The sequence below is a fragment of the Homo sapiens genome, chromosome 7 (assembly GCF_000001405.40).
Source record: "Homo sapiens chromosome 7, GRCh38.p14 Primary Assembly".
Lineage (NCBI taxonomy): Eukaryota > Metazoa > Chordata > Mammalia > Primates > Hominidae > Homo > Homo sapiens.
Window position 1 is genome coordinate 15,312,624 of NC_000007.14, and position 19,536 is coordinate 15,332,159.

A 19,536-nucleotide genomic window follows, 5' to 3' on the forward strand; every position below is an offset into this window, starting at 1 on the left:
AGTATTTTAAGACAAACAAAAACTGAAGAGTTTACTGCTATCAGACACTCACTAAAAGAATTTTGTTTTTTCCCCCCGAGACAGAGTCTTGCTCTGTCGCCCAGGCTGGAGTGCACTGGCAATGATGTCTGCTCACTGCAACCTCTGCCTCCTGGGCTCAAGAGCCTCCTGAGTAGCTGGGACCACAGCTGAGCACCACCATGCCCAGCCAATTTTTATATTTTTAGTAAAGACAGGGTTTTGCCATGTTGCCCAGGATGGTCTCAAACTCCCGAACTCAAGCAGTCCACCCACCTCGGCCTCCCAAAGTGCTGGGATTACAGACATGAGCCACCACATGCAGCCAAGAATTTCTGAATAATGAATTTCATCAGAAGAAAAGTGATCTAATATACAAGGTCAGAGATAATAAAGAATGCAGAGAAAGATATTGGAAATACAATACATGGACATATCTATGGGAACATTCACTGTGAAACATAACTAAGATCAATGTCTTGTGAGGCTAAAAATGAAAACAAGTTTTAAGTACACAAAGAAAACTCCTTCGATGTTTTGTAACAATAAAGGCATGTTTCTCACTGATCCCCTGTAGTAAAAGTTTTCTTAGGAAAAATAACATCCCCCATCATTGACTTTCTATTAACTATATTCCACACACGATGCTAAACATTTTACAGTCACTATCCATAGTCCTGTCAGGGAGCTAATATTAAACTCATTTACAAATGAGGAACTAGAACAGAAGTTTATTTTGCTGCTTAAGTGTTCAAAGATTCTAAAACTACTAAGTACTTTGGCCCATATTCAGTCTTACTTCTGTCTGTTTCAAAAACCCACATGTTAACAGCTAGGCTTCCTGAAAAGGATGGGCAATTTTTACCAGCAGATGTGCTTATATTTTGCAGAGTCAAAGGATTTCAGGTTCTGGCAAACACTAAATGTGATTCAGTAAAGAAATTGCTTCATGAACTCAAACAGAAAGGAGAGAGATAAGAGGAGATAGAGTAAACTCATAGTAATATAAAATGGTTCCCCCTTATCTACAGGAAGTTTCATTCCAAGACCTCCAGTGGATGCCTAAAACCACGGATCATACCAAACCATATATATACTATATTTTTCCTACACATACATGCCTATGATAAAGTTTAATTTATAGACATAGTAAAATATTAATAACAATAACTAATAATAACATAGTACAATTATAGCAATGTTCTGTAATAAAAGTTATGCAGATGGGGTCTCTCTCTCTCTCTCAAAATACCTTGCTGTACTATACTCACCCTTCTGCTTGTGTTGATGTGAGATGAGAAAATGCCTACTTGATGGATGAAGTGAGGCGAATGACATAGGTGATGTAGTGTTAGGCTAATATTGAACTTCTGAAGATTTGTCAGAAGGATCAGCTGCTTTCCGGTGATCCTGGATCATCAAGCCATGGCAGTGTTGATGGTTGGATGTCAGCAGCAGATAATGTTGATGACTGATGGACAGGTAGCATATATAGCATGGATAAGTTGGACAAAAAGGTGATTTACATCCGGGGTGAGACTGAGCAGGAGGGTGTGAGATTTCATCAGGCTACTCATAATGGTGCACAATTTAAAACTCATTAATTGATTATTTCTGGAATTTTTCATTTAATATTTTTGTAGCACAGTTGATCATGGTAACTGAAACCACAGAAAGCAAAGCTGCAGATAAGATGGGACTACAGTAATGATATAATTGAGTCATACATATATTTTGTTCAGTAACAGGAAAATAGGACAAAAAATCCTTGGTATATATGTATGCTTAAAGTTTATAAATGTTGATTTTATATACCTAATTCTTAAATTAAGACTAGGGAAACAGTTATATTGTACTTTAAATCACATTCTAGTCTTTAAAAGTTTAACTGGATTTTCCTGACATTTAGGTTAATCTGAAGTTTTTAGTTCACTGGAACACTGCATAATAATTATTTAACTTCAAAAATGTTATTTATGACATATCAAAAAACAATATTCAAAAATATATAAAATAATAGTGATGTGGGTAGGGCCTCTCTAAAGATGTCCAAGCCCTAATCCCTGGAACCTGTGAGTATATTACCTTATATGACTTTGGGACTTTGCAGATAGAATTAAGCTTATGAATCTTAAGACAAGCAGATCATCCTAAATTATCTAGGTACACCCAATCTTATCAACTGAGCCATCAAAAACAGTGAACTTTCTCTTGCTAGAGGCAGAATAGAAAAAAAAGATGTGACATAAGGGAAAATCAGAGAGATTACAAAAGTGAGAAGGATTTGGCACATCATTGCTGGCTCTAATCTGTAGGGACCCCAATGTAAGGACCGAAGCGACATGTTTTAGAGATAATACTAACCGCCAGCTGATAGCCCGCAAGAAAAATGGGAACCTAAGTCCTATAACTACAAGGAACTGGATTCAGCCAACAGCCACAAAGAGCTTGGAGTGAACCTTGATTTTGCCCTTGTGAAACCTGGAGCAGAGACCAGATTAGCCAAGCTTGACGTACAAAGACTTCTGGCACATAGAGGTATGAAATAATGAATTTGTGTTATTGCAAGGTACTAAGTTTGTGGTAACTTGCTATGGAAGTAATAGAAAACTAATACATACAACAAAATTTTTAAGTATGATTGAGATGAAAATTAAGATATAAGCAAAACTTACATGGATATTTGCTTTTTTTTTTTTTTTTTTTTTTTTTTTTGAGACAGAGTCTCACCCTGTTGCCAGGCTGGAGTGTAGTGGCGCGATCTAGGCTAACTGCAACCTCCGATTCCCTAGTTCAAGCGATTCTCCTGCCTCAGCCTCCAGAGTAGCTGGGATTACAGGCATGCGCCACCACGCCCAGCTAACTTTTGTATTTTTAGTAGAGACGGGGTTTCACCATGTTGGTCAGGATGGTCTCGATCTCCTGACCTTGTGATCTGCCCACCTAGGCCTCCCACAGGCATGAGCCACTGTGCCCAGCCATTTGCTGTATATTTAGCTCTGAAGTTTTTAGCAACAGAAACAAACAGAAAAGTTCTAGTTCTAAAATTAATAGACATCTACATACATGAGAGATATAAATGAGTTACTCTGGTTGCATAACTATACCTGTTATTGAGATAAGAGGAAAAGTCTCTATTATAAAGAGGACCATAGCAAACAATGTCCTCAACCACATTCACAAAGAGAAAAAAACATTTATTGCACCATTTTCTATAAATTACCTAATTGTAGGTCAACTACACAATGACTCATCAATTTAGTAAATGTTAATAATACAAGACCATTCTAATATCTACTATTTTGATTATCTAGGGAAATAATTTATAAATGATGTTTTAAGAAGCAGTACTTTTGAGAGATATTATTAGAGGTAATATTATCAAGCAGAACAGCAGGCACTGGTTTCCAACGCCAGGGAATGACCCTAACTACATAAAGGATAGCAAAGATCATCAAAATGGCAGCCACTAGAAATAGAAGTCCCAACACTTGTGCCCATTGCATCTTGGTATTGGAGTTGCCAAGGGAAAAACAAAACACAGTAATGGAGAGGACAGAACACTTTAATTTACATATTGAAGAGACTAGGCAACATCAGCTCCAAGAGTATGCATCAGTCCCCCATAACCAGCAGGTTCCTCTCCCACCCCACATCCACTGCAGCTGATGTAGGGCAATTGGCTTACATGCACCCCTCTTCTGCCACAGTAGAGGAACTCCACACTCCCTGCCAGTGGCGTCTGAAATACAGAAAACTGGGGGCCCACTTGAGGGCCACTGACTCAGAACAAAGTACTCATTGAGTCTGAAACAAAGATCTACTCAGTCAAGGTGATAAACCTGGCACAGGCTGTGTGGGCTCTTTATCTTTTGATAAGGAAGTGTTACAGGCCCTAGGTTCATCTTTGCTTGGCCAAGAATGGGTCAGAAGACTTCTTGTATGAGACTGCCTTTCCCAACAAATATACACACACACACACACAAGTTCATTATTCAGATAACTAAGCAGAGGGGATAATAATAGATACTTTACTGTAAAATAAGTTAAATACTTTAACAGGCTAATGTATTTAGTAACGTTTCCCCTCTCACTGTTTAGCGAAAAATCCAAGAAAAAGAAGTTACAAAGTATATTTCAGTGTAACTGAATAAATAATCCAACTTTATAGATTAATTGGCTTTTAAATAACATACATTTAAATTATTTGATTATTTTAGACAGTATGTAGACGTCATAACCCACTCTGCCCATGGCACTCTGATTTCATGGTAATCAAATCAAACTGTCTTCACAGAAAGAGAATATTCAGCTTTTTGCTCTCTGTAATTGGCAGGATGAACATAAGCAAAAGGAAATGCATCAAGCATATCCACATGTGGCATTGTTATTAAAAAGTCAGTATTTTAAAAATACTTCCAGTTTACAACTGTATTTTCCCTTGATTCATCAAGTGAATCTTCTTTGTGATTCCCATTTTCAAAGTGGTAACGTTGACTTTCAACTTCGTAAATTCTGTCATTTCACCCAAATCAAGGAAACATTTCAGTACATTGGGGATCAGTATTAACTTGAATCTTCATCCTTCAGTTTAAGATTATTTTTATGGTAACTCCTGATTTGCATTATATCTAATGTATATAAGGTATGAATTTATGACCCGGAAAAGTAGTCAAGTAAAAGCTTATTTGAATGTAACCTGACCATTGACAGATGTCTAGATGAAACCAGATGCCTATATTTAGTGTTGGGACATAAAAATAAACACGGACTAGAATAAATCATGATAGAGTAATCCAGCTTGCTTTATTAAATCAGGAGTGGGGATAGGCAAAGGGGATCAAATTACACTCACGTTGTTGGGTATAATATCACCTCGTAATAAGAGAAGTGTCCTAACCTATTGGTTTGTCTAAAATTTCTTACCATTTTAAACACCTTTTAAATCCCCTTATGATCTTGACTGGAGTGAACATGAACGCATTATTATTATAACTACTAATGGTAAAATAAAATATCCCAAAGGACTTTCATTTATTCATTACTTTCCAAAGAGATTCAGAAGTGATTTAATTCAAGTGTCTGTTATAAGAAGTAGTAGAAAACAATTTGTCACACAATAAGACAATGGTGGTATTCAATGAATGGCACCATTGCATAAATTCCACTAGAAGAGATATTGAAAGGTTTATATTTTTGTCATATATATATATACACACACACACACGTATATATATATACACACGTATATATATACACACACACGTATATATATATACACACACGTATATATATATATACACACACACACACTATATATATATATACACACACACGTATATATATATACACGTATATATATACATATATTTTTTTTTTTTTGAGAGCGTATCTTGCTCTATCACCCAGGCTGGTGTGCAGTAGTGCAATCTTGGCTCACTGCAATCTCTGCCTCTGGGGTTCAAACAATTCTCTTGCCTCAGCCTCCCAAGTAGCTGGAATTACAGGCATGCACCACAATCCCTGGCTAACTTTTGTATTTTTAGTAGAGACGGGTTTCACTGTGTTGGCCAGGCTGGTCTCGAATCCTGATCTCAAGTGATCCACCCGCCTCAGCCTCACAATGTGCTGGAATTACAGGCGAGAATCACTGTGCCCGTCCTACATGTTTAAAAGATTATGAAGTCTTGGCATTATTCTTTATATGAGTTCTATTCTGATAAAAGGTCATCAATTTCAGATTTCTGCTGAAAAAGATATTCTGCTTGAATACAGTGTATCACTCAAAATGGCATTATTTAAATGGATCAGTTTAAAGATAAAAATGTCTTACTGATCTTGAAATCCTAATCCACATGGTCAAATAAGCTGATATGATTGACTCAGACAAAGTTCACAAGCTAGTGTCAAAAGATGATCCTTGAGCATATAGAAATTAAATATTATGAAATTAAGGAAAATATGCAGGATCTAATACTCTTCCAGCCTTAACAGAAGAATATCATGAGCTTTATCTGTAGGATCCATTTATGAGGAAATTTAATCATAATTTAACCTTTTAATTTAATTAAAATATTTTTAAAAATACGGGCTAGAATTATATTCTACATTGGCTCAATTTTTTTCTTTGTTTTTATCAATCCTCTTTTACAGGTTGCCAATTATGCTTTCTAGCTAAGCAGCATTTTTGAAAACTCTAAAATCAGGCTTCTTGATGCTGTCCACAAAATCCTCTCTACTGCCTTGCTAATTACAACACTTGATTGGCTTTTTCTTGTGACGAATCTTACTTGATCATTCTTATTGGTGATAGTCACTGGCATCTTGAAATGCTATCTCCCTTTGTCTTCTCTGATTCCTCCTTCTTTATTCTAAAGTTGATTATTGCCAAACTCTTTCATCGGTTTCTTTTTTCCTCCTCCCGTTTCTCTACTGGCCTCATTTTGTTCTACCTTTGTCTTATTTCTATTTTTCAAGAAGTTGATTGTTAATGCCTCAGCATAGGTTTTATTTTTCTGTAATGGCAATCTTGGCAACCAATCCCTGCAAAAAAGCTACTAAAAAAGTGAGATAAAATAATTTTAAAATATGGTTGAGGGAAATTAGTGATGTTAGTGTGGAATTACCAGAGTAGGAAATGGGAAAGGACAAAATCCAGAGAGGTGAGTTCAACTTTCATGAATATTTTGTTCTCATGGAGTTTATCAACTGAAAGAGGCTAGAATAAAATCAGTCTAAAGTCTTTCAAAAGAGAGGCCCTCATAAAACAACCCTGAATTTGGACTGGGGATCCAAAGAGATGTACCCTAGGATAAGGATATGAAATAAATAAACAAAGCTTTGCATGCTCTGAAGCTTGGTCTTGAGTCATTATGGAGAAAAAGTCTCATGTGTCAGGGTTGAATTAAAGTTACCTGAATTGCTAGAAATTTTGGCAATGGTAATTTACAATTCACATTGGGGGAAAGTGACGTTTTCCGAAGACTCAAACTTATTTCCATGAATTAAACTTTAAATTTAATATCCATTACACAATCAAAGATTACCAGAAACACACACACGGAAAGATTCCATTAGTAAGCAGCAAGAAAAATGACAGGCAATGGAATAGACTCACTTCCAACTCAAAACTGGAATTATTTGACATAATTATTATTATATGTCTTTAATATTTTTAAGGAGATATATGCCAAGCTTTAATTTGAGAGGAAGAAAGCAGTATACAGTTACATAAAAGATTTGGAAAAGGATTATCTAGATAGTATAAAACTAAAAATATAATGTATCCATAAAAAATGATGAGTTCATGTCCTTTGTAGGGACATGGATGAAGCTGGAAACCATCATTCTCAGCAAACTACTGCGAGGATAAAAAACCAAACACCGCATGTTGTTCTCACTCATAGGTGGGAATTGAACAATGAGAACACTTGGACACAGGAAGGGGAACATCACACACTTGGGCCTGTTGTGGGGTGGGGGAGGGGGAAGGGATAGCATTGGGAGATATACCTAATGTAAATGACGAGTTAATGGGTGCAGCACACCACCACGGCACACGTATACATATGTAACAAACCTGCACGTTTTACACATGTACCCTAGAAAATAAAGTATAATAAAAATATACACATAAAATAAATAAATAAATAAAATATAATGTATCCTAATGCAACTGAAGAAAGTCAAAAACAAATTTTCACAGTAGCCACAGAGAAGCCATATATTTTAGTCACCATTTCTTATTTCTGGATTCTTTCCCAATGTTTCTCATACCAAATTCTGTAACAATTTAGAAATGTTTCTACTAAAGACTCTAAATTGATTATGATTAACTTTACAAAAAAGTTAAAAAAGAACTTTTGATATCTCAACTCTCCTTCATTCATGCATTAAAAGATTCACATGGCATCTTCATAATTGGGGAATAATAAAAAGGAGTATTAAATATAAACTTAAGAGTTTATTTTCTAAATGGTTAGAATTTCAGAGAAGCTGAATTTTTTCATATTTGTTTATCCTGTCTTTCCTGGGATATAAGCTAACAACCATCATTAAATGAGACGATATATATCACATAATGTTATATATGCCTTAATAAATGGATGCATACAAACAAACTTGAAAGTATCTACAAATTAGGGAAATCTATTATTTTCTTTCTAAACAAGGACCTCAAGTTGAAACAACTATGTTTAACATAATTTTCAAATATATGTTACATTTGGATGGTATAACTTTAGTTTTTTAAAACAATAAAGTTTAACTGTTGTGTGACTTGCACAAGTTAAGGGTTTCAGCAAATTGTCTGAAATACTTTTGTAAGGAAACTCTCCCTCACTCCCAACCACCCACTCACCCTGTCCTAGCAATACACAGACAGAGACAGAAACAACTTTTGAGAGGACTATTTCATACAATATTTTTGTTTGTTTTGCAGTTGTGAAGTTCAAAAGCTCCAAAATCCCACTATTTTTGTTGCTATTGTAATTCTTAACTGAATTGGCCATAAACCTAACTGGAATTAATAGAATGCTATTTCTATTCCTCACTTAGACAATTTAGGGTGAACATTCATACACTTTTCTGCTATATACACATACATACGTATATAGATAGATTGTTGGACAAAGAGGGGCTGCCACAAACCCCAAACGGATGTTCTACATTATGCATGCACCTTTCTAAAACTCTAAAATATATCTAATTCCAAACACTTCTGACACTAGAGGTTTCTGAGTGAAATACTTTCTTGTACTAAACAATAGTGAGAATCTGTTGGTGGCGAAAGTTTGTAAGTACATCGTCACCTTCAAATAAGAACAGATATACCCAAAATTTACATATGATAAGAATGGAGTTCTTGAGAATGTTTTTGAGGGGAGTAGAGCCAGAAGGAAATGGTAAGATAAAAAAGATACTCATCTCTACACTTAGCATTTGTAGATAAGACAATTTGCTTAAAGTTTTGAATTTAATAGTGCAAGATTTAAACATTTATAAAAGACATATATGATGTCTACATCTAGAAGACGACTTCTACGGAACAAAAATCAAATTTAAATTTTAATACAAAAAAGAAAGAAAAAAAGAGTGTTGAGGTTCTTTCAATAGGTTTTTCTGTAACTTGAACTCAAAAAGATTTAAAAAATATGGCTAGATTGATTATTATTCCCCATAGGCTAGTAAATAGTCGATTTTTCTATACTTTAACCTCCATACCAGACTCACTCTTCAGAGCCCTAAATCTTGAGATATAATAATGAAAAATTGGAGGTCTATTTAATACAATTTTTTTCTTACTGGGTTTTTGAGAATTATAAATTCATTAAAAATGAAAATAAACTAAGGAAAAGAGGTTAGGCTTTTTTCTTAAGATGCCAGCTAAGAATGGTGGCATGCACATGTAGTCTCAGCTACTCAGGAGTCTGAGGTAGCAGAATTGCTTGAGCCCAGGAATTCAAGTTCAGCCTGGGCAACATAATGAGATCCCCATCTCTAAAACAATTAAATTTCTAAATAAAATATTGAAAAAGAATCTAATTACTAGAAGATAATTTACATCCTTGTTAAAGATAAATATATAATATAATGTAATATAATATAAGAAATACCAAGGTACATATCATCAGACGCCACTTAAAAAAACAAAAGCACTAAGTAAACTTTATAGAAAACTGGCAGATATATGCCATACCAGTTGGGAAAACAATTGGGATCCAAGGGGTTGAAAAGAATAAAATAAGTTACCAAAACTGAGTAGTTCATATAAACATATATATACCTGTGTGTGTATATATATAAATATATATATAAATATATATAAATATATAAATATATATATAAATATATATAAATATATAAATATATATATAAATATATATAAATATATAAATATATATATAAATATATATAAATATATAAATATATATAAATATATATAAATATATAAATATATATAAATATATATAAATATATAAATATATATAAATATATATAAATATATAAATATATATATAAATATATATAAATATATGTATATATAAATATATGAATATGTATAAATATATATAAATATATAAATATATATATAAATATATAAATATATATAAATATATATATCACAAAATTATCAAAACTCCTTTCCTGATACAGGAAAAAATATGTATACACATACATGTGACACATAGCACAAAATTATAAAAAAAAATGTGACACATAACACAAAATTATCAAAACTCTTTCTTGATACAGGAAAAAATATATATATACACATATATGTGTTTACATATGTGTGTGTGTGCATATATATATAACACGTGTGTGTATATATATATGTATTTATTTTTTATTTTTTCCTGTATCAAGAAAGGAAATTTTGTAGGTCGTTATGTACACAACTGTGATCATCTTGAGTGACTAAGGGAAAGAAATTAGACTATCTAATGTTTAAATAAGCCTAGTTAAAGATCAGTGCAATCCTTGGAGTAATAAGACTTCTTTATAATTTCCAATATAAAGAGATGATAAGCGAATGATCTTGTTTCTCACAGTGCAGATGAAGAGCAAGATAATTTTGCTTATTGAATAATCACCATGAGCAGTTACAATTTGCCCTAAGAAAACATTTCCAATAGTAATTAATTCTGACTGTTTAACTTTTTGTTTGTATATTTATATTGTTTATTTTTGTTAATACATTGATATAAAAGAATTGGAAGAAGTCAGACAAAGAAAAAAATAACCAGCATAGAGAGATCCCATCACCTTCCTTTCAAGGGGGATAAAAGATAAAGTGTGAGGAGAAATACAGTGTATACAATAAATATGTCATATGGAGATGGTAGGAGGGATATTGTCAACATTATACTTTTCATTTGAGTTTTGTCTTACAATTTCATGCTACAGAAGACTGCTAAAATTTTATCTAGGTAGGTCACTAAAACACTCCCAATTTCTTATAATATTTAGACAGAAAATAACGCGCTGATTCTCATATGATTCCAAGCTGTCTCCCGAGCTTGCAGTGCATGACTTTTGCCAGAGCAAAGGGCTATGGGATGGAAAAGACTGCCTCCTGACTCTGGGCTTCAGAGCAGCTTTGCAGCTGTTAACAAGGAAAGCCTCGTGGTATTGTGCTAGATGATTTCATGACTTTCTAATCATTTTTAAATTGTGAAATTATCAAAACAGACACGAGATGTTGCCAAATCTGTGTTTCTTTGCTTTCAGCTTGTTTTAACTGCAAGCAAGGGTTTGAAACGTCAATGTTCTTGCTACTACCTCAGAGTAAGCCACATTTAAAACTCAAGCTTGCCGCAGACATTTCTATTTTGAAACTGTGGCTTTCTTTAAAACTGTAATTTGTATTAAAGTGCATATTTATGTAATTGTTCTATATACTACCATATGTTGCTGTAACAATGTATTAGAGATACAAGCGTAGTAAAAATAAGACTACTTTAAGCCAATGTTTCCATCAGACAATCATCAGTATTACTCCAGCGCAGCAACCCAACACTCAGCTAATACAAACTGGCCTTCAGACCAGGCTCTGCTCACTCACTTTCACAAAGAGGCAGTAATAATAATGGTGTGTGCCATAGTTGAGACAGAAAACTGCATCAGTATCTCAGACTTTTAGACGTTGGTATCAGGCAACCCTGTCCCCACGTGTTTGTCTCCCAATCCTGTAAGTTCCAGATCCCAAGGTCAGCTCTCCTAGTTGCTGATGTTCTATCTTTTAAAGCGCCCATCTTGGGTTATTCCTACTATTACAGTAGGATCTCTCAAGGCATTTTCTTTATAAGCTTTGGTTTCTTGTTCTTATTTAGATGTCCTGAAGTGCCTTCTTGATTTCTTTTTTTCTCTGGCTTCAGACCCCTACATGGCCAGAGGCCCCAGGGTTTTGCCTTTCTTCTCCCCCTCATCTCCCTCACTCCTGAGGTCTGTCCTCTAATGTAGTGGCCCCCAACCTTTTTGACACCAGGAACATGTTTCATGGAAGGCAATTTTCCCACAGATGGTGGGGGGCGGTGTCGGGGAGAAGATACGGTTTCAGGAAGAAACTGTTCCACCTCAGATCATCAGGCATTAGATTCTCACAAGGACTGCGCAATCTAGATCCCTCTGATGTGCATTTCACAATAGAGTTCGAGCTCCCATGAGAATCTAATGTCACCACTGATCTGACAGGAGGCAGAGCCCAGGCAGTAATGCTTATTTGCCTGCTGCTCACCTCCTGCTGTGTGGTCCGGTTCCTAATAGGCCACCAACCAGTCCGTGGTTGGGGAGTTGGGGACCCCAGCTCTAGTGAATCTCTGTAGGCCACTCCAAACCAAAGTAAAATTAAAAATTAAAAAAAAATTTTTGAGTTTAAAAAATTCAAATACCTAACATTTTTAACATGCTTTGAAAACCCCTCAGGAAGCCCTGTAATTGTTTCTTATTGGTAAGTAACATTTGAATAAAAAGAACTTTGTTTATTATACCTGATTTTAATTTCACGTTTTGAGAAATATATACTGGATAGATAGATTTAGTTTCATGCAGTCATGTTTAAATTATATATCCAAATTAACTTGCATTATATATCTGCATCGTGACTTTACTTGGAAGGCATTAAAGGCTAATAAATAGTATTCACTATATCAAATATGTACTTTCACACATATCTAAATAATTATATATTAGCATTTCTACATTTAATAATTTTATTTGTAAAATTTAATACATAATATTATCTGCAATTATTTAATCAGTGAGCGTTCAAGGGCATGTCAGATTAAGATTAACCTTAAAAAGCTTATTTTTAATTATTTTCCGTTGTTTTTTAAACAAACTTCTCTCACAAAATTTACATCCAAGCTAACTGGTGAAGAATAAAACATTACACACCTATACATGCACACATACAAAAGGACTCTATTTCAACAGCACATCAGGCCTTTAAAATATAAACAATCAAAAAGGAAAATGGTTGAAACAGAAAAAATAACTCAAAACTTTAAAAGAAATGTCATGTAAAAAGCAAAATGCTTAAACTGAAAATATAGCATTGTACCTTATCAGCTCACATTTTACTTTTGAGTCATCCAAATTTTGTCATCCAATTATTTTTGAACCCTGTATATTAATTTTTCATTAGGATTATCTTAATAGGAAGTTTTATTATTTTTGCTTTTATACAACATTTTACTATAGCAATTTATGACATCTTGACTTGGTTGTTCGCAATTTGTTTCTGTCCCCTTTAATGACAAAAAGAAGAGGAAGAAGACGGAGGAGGAGGAGGAGAGGGAGAGCAAGAGGAAGAAACAAACCAAAGAATAAAAAAAGTTTATAAATGAGCAGTCACTGCAGTAACTAAGCCAAGTTTTATAAAGCAGAGGAAATATTCTCATTAGAAGCAGTGCTAAATTAAATAATAGATACAGGTTTTTTTTAAACTGGGATATTACTCTTAGAAAAAATATAAAACTTAATTTATGATCTCCTCAAGACACACATTCTATTTATTAAATACATTTGAATTAAAGGGGGGGTTAAGGAAAATGATAAAACTTACAGTTAACTTTTACCACTAGATGGAGCCCAGGCATCTATATGGCAAAACTCCCACTGTGTTTACATTTGGCTGTATTTGATTACTTACTGAAAATGACATATAATCAGTTTAACCTGAAAGGGGTAAGGGATGATAGGTGTTTTTTAGAATATAGCGTCTTGGCAAAATGTAAATTGATGAAAAGTGAACATGACTTCTCTTTAGAATCCTCCCTCCTGAATACAGATCTTCCATCACATAAAATACACAGACCTCTTAACTTTTGTGCCTGCCTCTTCGCATTCTACCTATTTTGGGAAGGCCTCTCAAGGATGCTTACTAATGCTCTTAAGGTTATTCCAGCTCCTCTTGCCTTACTCTTTTCTGAACCCACTGATTAATGAAATATTCATTCTTGGTGTTGACCATATATTTCTCTTACGTGTGCTTACAGTAATTTCACATGAAGAAGTGGCTTTCTCTCCCCATGGCAGAATTATACCATAATACCTATGAAATGGATATAAGCTTCAAAAATACAAATGGCTAACTTGGTACAAACAGATACCATTCATTTTGTTTCATCTTTAGGCCTCTGGGAAGTCTATGTACAAAAGGCATAGCGAAAAAGAAAAAAACAAAAACAGAGATTTGGTGCCCTCTGCCATTAATAATTAAACTTCCAGAAATTATCTTGGAAAAGATTACCAAACTAGAGATCCAGAACCAAGACAGTAAAGTTTTATAAGCTGCTGCAAAGTTTGCCATTTTCCAGAGGCTAGAATTTGGCATTTTTTGTCTTAATGTAAATTGTTCTGTTTTTGATCAATGCTGAAAGTTCATAACATATAATATTTGTAATTTTGTGAAGGCAGAGATTTGAATCCCATATTGTGTTACGAAGCCTTTGTGCAATGAGTGACCCTCTGAGCTTAAGAGTAGGTCTAATTACGTTCCCAGAACAGGCATCATAACCTGGCTCGGTTTTCAACTTGCTGTTCTTTGGAAGAAATGTTTTTGGACTCATCTACTACACCTCTATTTGATATTTTCTAGTTTATATTTGCATTTAGTGGAAAGACAGCTAAAAATAGAAAATGCTTGGGGCTAGGTTTCCATGAAGAAAAAGAAATAAGTGTTGGAGAAGACCAAACATCTTGGGATATGGCAAATTAATCAGCTACCAAAAGGCATGCTTGGAACCGGATACAAAAAAGAAAAGCAGCAAGTGTAGGAATGACTGGGGCTGAGTCTCAGACATCTTTCTGGAGCTTCATTCACTCACATGCAAAGATCATTTGTTCAACACCTAGAATGCATCAGCCACCAAATTAGGACCACACATCCATAAATATTAGACAACTGAGAAATTTAGGAGTTTAATGAGAAAAGGAGATTAGAAAAGAGACTACTATAGCACAGTGATATGGGAACTATAAACGACAATGGGAGACTATATAGGAAGGTTATTTACGTTGAGGGTATATGTAATTAAGCCCTGAGGGGGAGAGAAAGAGAGGTTTTCATGAAAAAATGATAAACTGATTTCTTTCTTTTTTTTTTTTTTTTTTTTTTTTTGAGACAAGGTCTCACTCTGTCACCCAGGCTGCCAGGCTAGAGGGCAGTGGCTATAGTGTTGCCATCACAGCTCATTGCAGCTTTGACCTACCAGCCTCAGGTGATGCTCCCACCTCAGCCTCCTGGGTAGCTGGGGACTACAGGTGTATGCCATGTTGCCGGGCTAATTTAAAAAAAAAAATTTTTTTTTGGTTGAGACAGGGTCTCACTATGTTGCCTGAGCTTGTCATGAACTTCTAGGCTCAAGCGATCTTCCCCCATCAGCCTCCCAAAGTGCTGGGATTGCAGGTATGAGACACTGTGCCTGGTCAATACACTGAGTCCTTCCTTCCTTCTTTTCTTTTTTATTTTTTTTCCAAAGTCTCACTGTCGCCCAAGCTGGAGTACAATGGCACAATTTTGTCTCACTGCAACCTCAGCCTCTCAGGTTCAAGTGATTCTCCTGCCTCAGCCTCCCAAGTAGCTGGGATTGCAGGTGTGTGCCACCACACCCGGCTAGTTTTGTATTTTTAGTAGAGATGGGTTTTCTCCATGTTGGCCAGGCTGGTCTTGAACTCCTGACCTCAGGTGATGGGCCCACCTCGGCCTCTCAAAGTGCTGGGATTACAGGCGTGAGCCACCACGCCCAGCCTGATTTCTTAAACAATGAATAATTGAGGCTAAGTAAGGAAGGAGTCTTGTGATTGAAAAGCAAGAAAAGGAGATTCTTCCCATAGGAGCTGTGTTAATTGTAAGAAATTCCCTCTTTCTGAGAGGGAAGTACAGGAATAATTGAAAGACCAATCTGTTGCTGAAGAATCTAACCATAGCTAAAAGGGTCTTATTTTGCTATGCCTCATGCCCGGAAGCAGCCATTAAGGGTTTCAGAGGACAGAGGGAAACTCACATTTTTATTTCAAAGTAGTCAAACCAATATTTCTTTTGAATGTGAAATTTCAGTGAGCCTTTTAAAGGTCAAATTACATTACTCCTCTGCTCACCAATTTCCAAGAGTTTCCCATATATTACTGACATTGGCCAAGTCTCTCTAGATTTTTATTCTGGTGTTAACCTCTCTGAGGCATTTCCTTCTCCTTTTCCTTTCCATCATCCCTTTCCAACCACAATGATTTTCCATTTCTTTCCTGAACACACTCATCTTTCCATACCAGGTCTTGGAAGCATCCTTGCCCTCTACCTGAACCTGAACTCCTATTCCCTAAAATAGCAGTATGGTTTGCTCCTTTACCTCCTTCGGGAGTTTGCCAAGAGTTCATAGAAAACACATACATCCTTCACTATCCTTCCTCCCCTGCACCTCAAAAGTGCTTATCCTTTCCCCTCTCTTTGTTGTCCCACATATTGGACTTACCACTATGTGCATACTGTATATTTTATTAACTTATTGCTAGAAAACATCTTTCTCTACTGGAACGTAAACTCCTCAGGGGCTTCGATATTCGTCTGTATTGTATTTGATATACTTTAATTGTTTCGGTATACTAAATACCCAAGACAATTCTTGACACATAGTTGCTTCCCTTTTTCTTTCAGTGAATTAAGCCATTGGTGGCAGAAACAAGTTATGAAAAGTCTCAGAAATCCAGGCACATAGGTGATGAGGAGCACCAATTTAAGTTTAGTAGTGCAGAAAAAGAAACCCTTCAAGATTAAGGTGCAAGCTCCCAGAGGACATGACAAGAAATTGTCTATCCTTGTGTGGCCTTGAACCAGGCAAACAAAAAATACGTCCTTAGTGGGAAAACATTTGTTTTTAAAATTAAAATGACAGAACAACAGTTCAAACATTTCTCTTCTATCAGAGAGGAATAACCTAGGAACAAGCAGGTGCCATTTTCATATAGTTAACATTTACTGATACTAAAGGCGTCGCTTAATTACACCTATGTTATTCTTGATATATCCTGTCCATTATTATGTTTAATCCTCTCAAACCCAGTGTGATTTGTTTTCCCAGAGAATCAGAGATTAAGTAACTTAGTCAAGAGTATGGGCTAGGAGTGGATGTCTTCGGAATTCAAAACTCTCTCTGGGAATTCAGATGCTATTTGCTGAAGTGGGTAAGGAAGCTTCATATCCCACGAGCATCCTTACTTTGTTGGGTTTGGTAGAGGGTTGAGCTGCGGGTCTCTAAAGTTAACAGAGTAGCAGCACTGTGCTTTAGGTCAGAGGACTGAAAAATGAACAATATGCAGATGCTGCACTCAGGTAACTAATGGTCTAGTGGAAGGAAAAAATAACTAATTTATAGAAGTTTAGGGCATTGTTTTGGATAACTAAAATATAGAATTATTTTCTTTTTTCTTTCTATCTCTATTGAAGTTAATATATAAAATGATTTCTTAAAAGTTTTTGAGATTACTGTTTTAAGGATCACATTATTGATATTGCAGTCACCAGGATAAGCTGAATAATTTCAAGGTGTTTAAAAAGTAATACATCCATCTGCCAACCTACTAGTAGTACTAAAATAATAAAATCCTAGACTCATAATTTAATTGTACACCCCTTCCTTGAAATCATTGATAAACATTAACTTTATGTATGGGGCAGGAATAAAAGTAGAAGCAATTGTCTTGGTTTCAGAAATGGGCTTGTTCTTATACAAATTAAATTCTTAACTTTATCCTTCACTGAAGTCCTGCTTCTCTGCTAATTTCACTGTCAAAAACAGAACTGATGACTTAGTAATACAATCTATATGAACAAAAGACAATATTTTGGCAGTCATGTATGTCATCATTTTTGGATTTGTGTTACTAGAAAGTTTTGAGATTTTTGAGGTTAGGCACTCCCTTTACTTCAAATTCTGACCTTTGAGCGATTTGAGTATCTACAGAAGCCTTCCCTTCTGTTTGCGCTCACCAACTACACATATTTTTTCTGGGAGAAATACATTCTTACATACTTTATCTGCCTATAGAGACAATATATTTTAGTTGCTAATATCAGGAATTTTAAAGTCAAGCATTCCTGTATGCAGGTCTGGGCTTGCTAGTTATGTGACTTTGGACAATTTACTTAACATCTTTCTAAGCCTCTCCTTATTTTTTTTTAATCTGCCAAATGGAAGTGTAGAAATCCGCTGACAAACTGGTCTTAATGATCTATATTTTATGGCATTCAAATATTCTGTAAGCCCCTCCCACAGTGAATTGGGACTAGGTTTGTGTGACCTACAGAATATCATGGAAGTGATCTTGTGTGACATCTAAAGTTAGGTTATAGAAGGCATTACATTTTCCCCCTTGGCCTCTTGGATTGTTCTCTCTGGGGGAAGCTAGAAGCTATCCTTTGAGAACCTTTGGGCAATCAAGCAGAGAGATCTATATAGGAGTAAAGGAGGCCACTCCATTAATAGCCAGTATCTTTGTACTAGCCTTGTAATTGGATCCTTCTGTCCTACTCTAGCCTTTAAATGACTTCGTCCCCAGGCAAGAAAGAATGAAACTGCAAGGAGGATATGAAGAAAAGAACTGCTCAGCTAAGCCCTTTTTGAATTCCTAATCAATAGAAGCTGTGAGAAATAAAAATGATTATTACGGCTTAAGCCACTAAGGTTTAGGATAATTTGTTACACAGCCATAATTTCTGGAACAGGGATAATATATTTGTGGTTGAAATGTTGTGAGAATAAAATGAAAAAATATATATAATGAGATTTAAAAATGTGTGTCTGTGTGTGTGAGCATGCATGAAAGCATGAAGCCAAGTGCTTAAAATTCAGGGAAAGGGGTAGAAGCCCTGTGTGAAAACAGGCTGTGTTCCTGTAAAGATTTTTGCACTCTGCAGCCAACACTATGTGTTCACTAAAATATATTCTCCTTTTTGGCTGAGATAGATTATATTTCCCAGGCTCATTTTTAGTTAAGAATTGCCGACCAGGCGCGGTGGCTCACACCTGTAATCCCAACACTTTGGGAGACTGAGGCAGGTGGATCACATGAGGTCAGGAGTTTGAGTCCAACCTGACCAATGTGGAGAAACCCCATCTCTACTAAAAATATAAAATTAGCCAGGTGTGGTGGCCCATGCCTATAATCACAGCTACTCAGGAGGCTGAGGCAAGAAAATTGCTTGAACCTGGGAGGGAGAGGTTGCAGTGAGCCAAGATCACACCATCGCACTCCAGCTTGGACAACAAGAGTAAAACTGTCTCAAAAAAAAAAAAATTGCCATGTGACTAAGTCCTGCCAATGGAATGGGAGCAGAGGTGAAATATGCTGCCCCAAAACCTCCAATGGGCAATCTTCTACTTACCTTCAATTCTTCTTTCAAAATGGAGACGAGTGAAATCATAAGATGGAAGGAGCCTAGGTACCTAACAGACCACATAAAAGGATACACACTAGACAGGAAGGCTAACATTGGTCTTTTTCTGAGCAAAAAATAAA

The 19,536-nt window shown here is 35.5% G+C and overlaps 1 protein-coding gene and 1 long non-coding RNA gene across 7 annotated transcripts in view; one reads left to right on the forward strand and one right to left on the reverse strand.

Moving 5' to 3' along the window:
- The window catches only part of LOC124901592 (uncharacterized), a 75,595-nt gene extending 75,468 nt beyond the window's left edge, over positions 1–127 (forward strand). Inside the window, exon 3 of the long non-coding RNA XR_007060218.1 lies at positions 85–127. This is a non-coding gene — a long non-coding RNA (uncharacterized LOC124901592). The remainder of the gene's footprint in view (positions 1–84) is intronic.
- The window catches only part of AGMO (alkylglycerol monooxygenase), a 444,793-nt gene that overhangs the window by 195,401 nt on the left and 229,856 nt on the right, over positions 1–19,536 (reverse strand). The gene's annotated exons all lie outside the window — the stretch shown is intronic.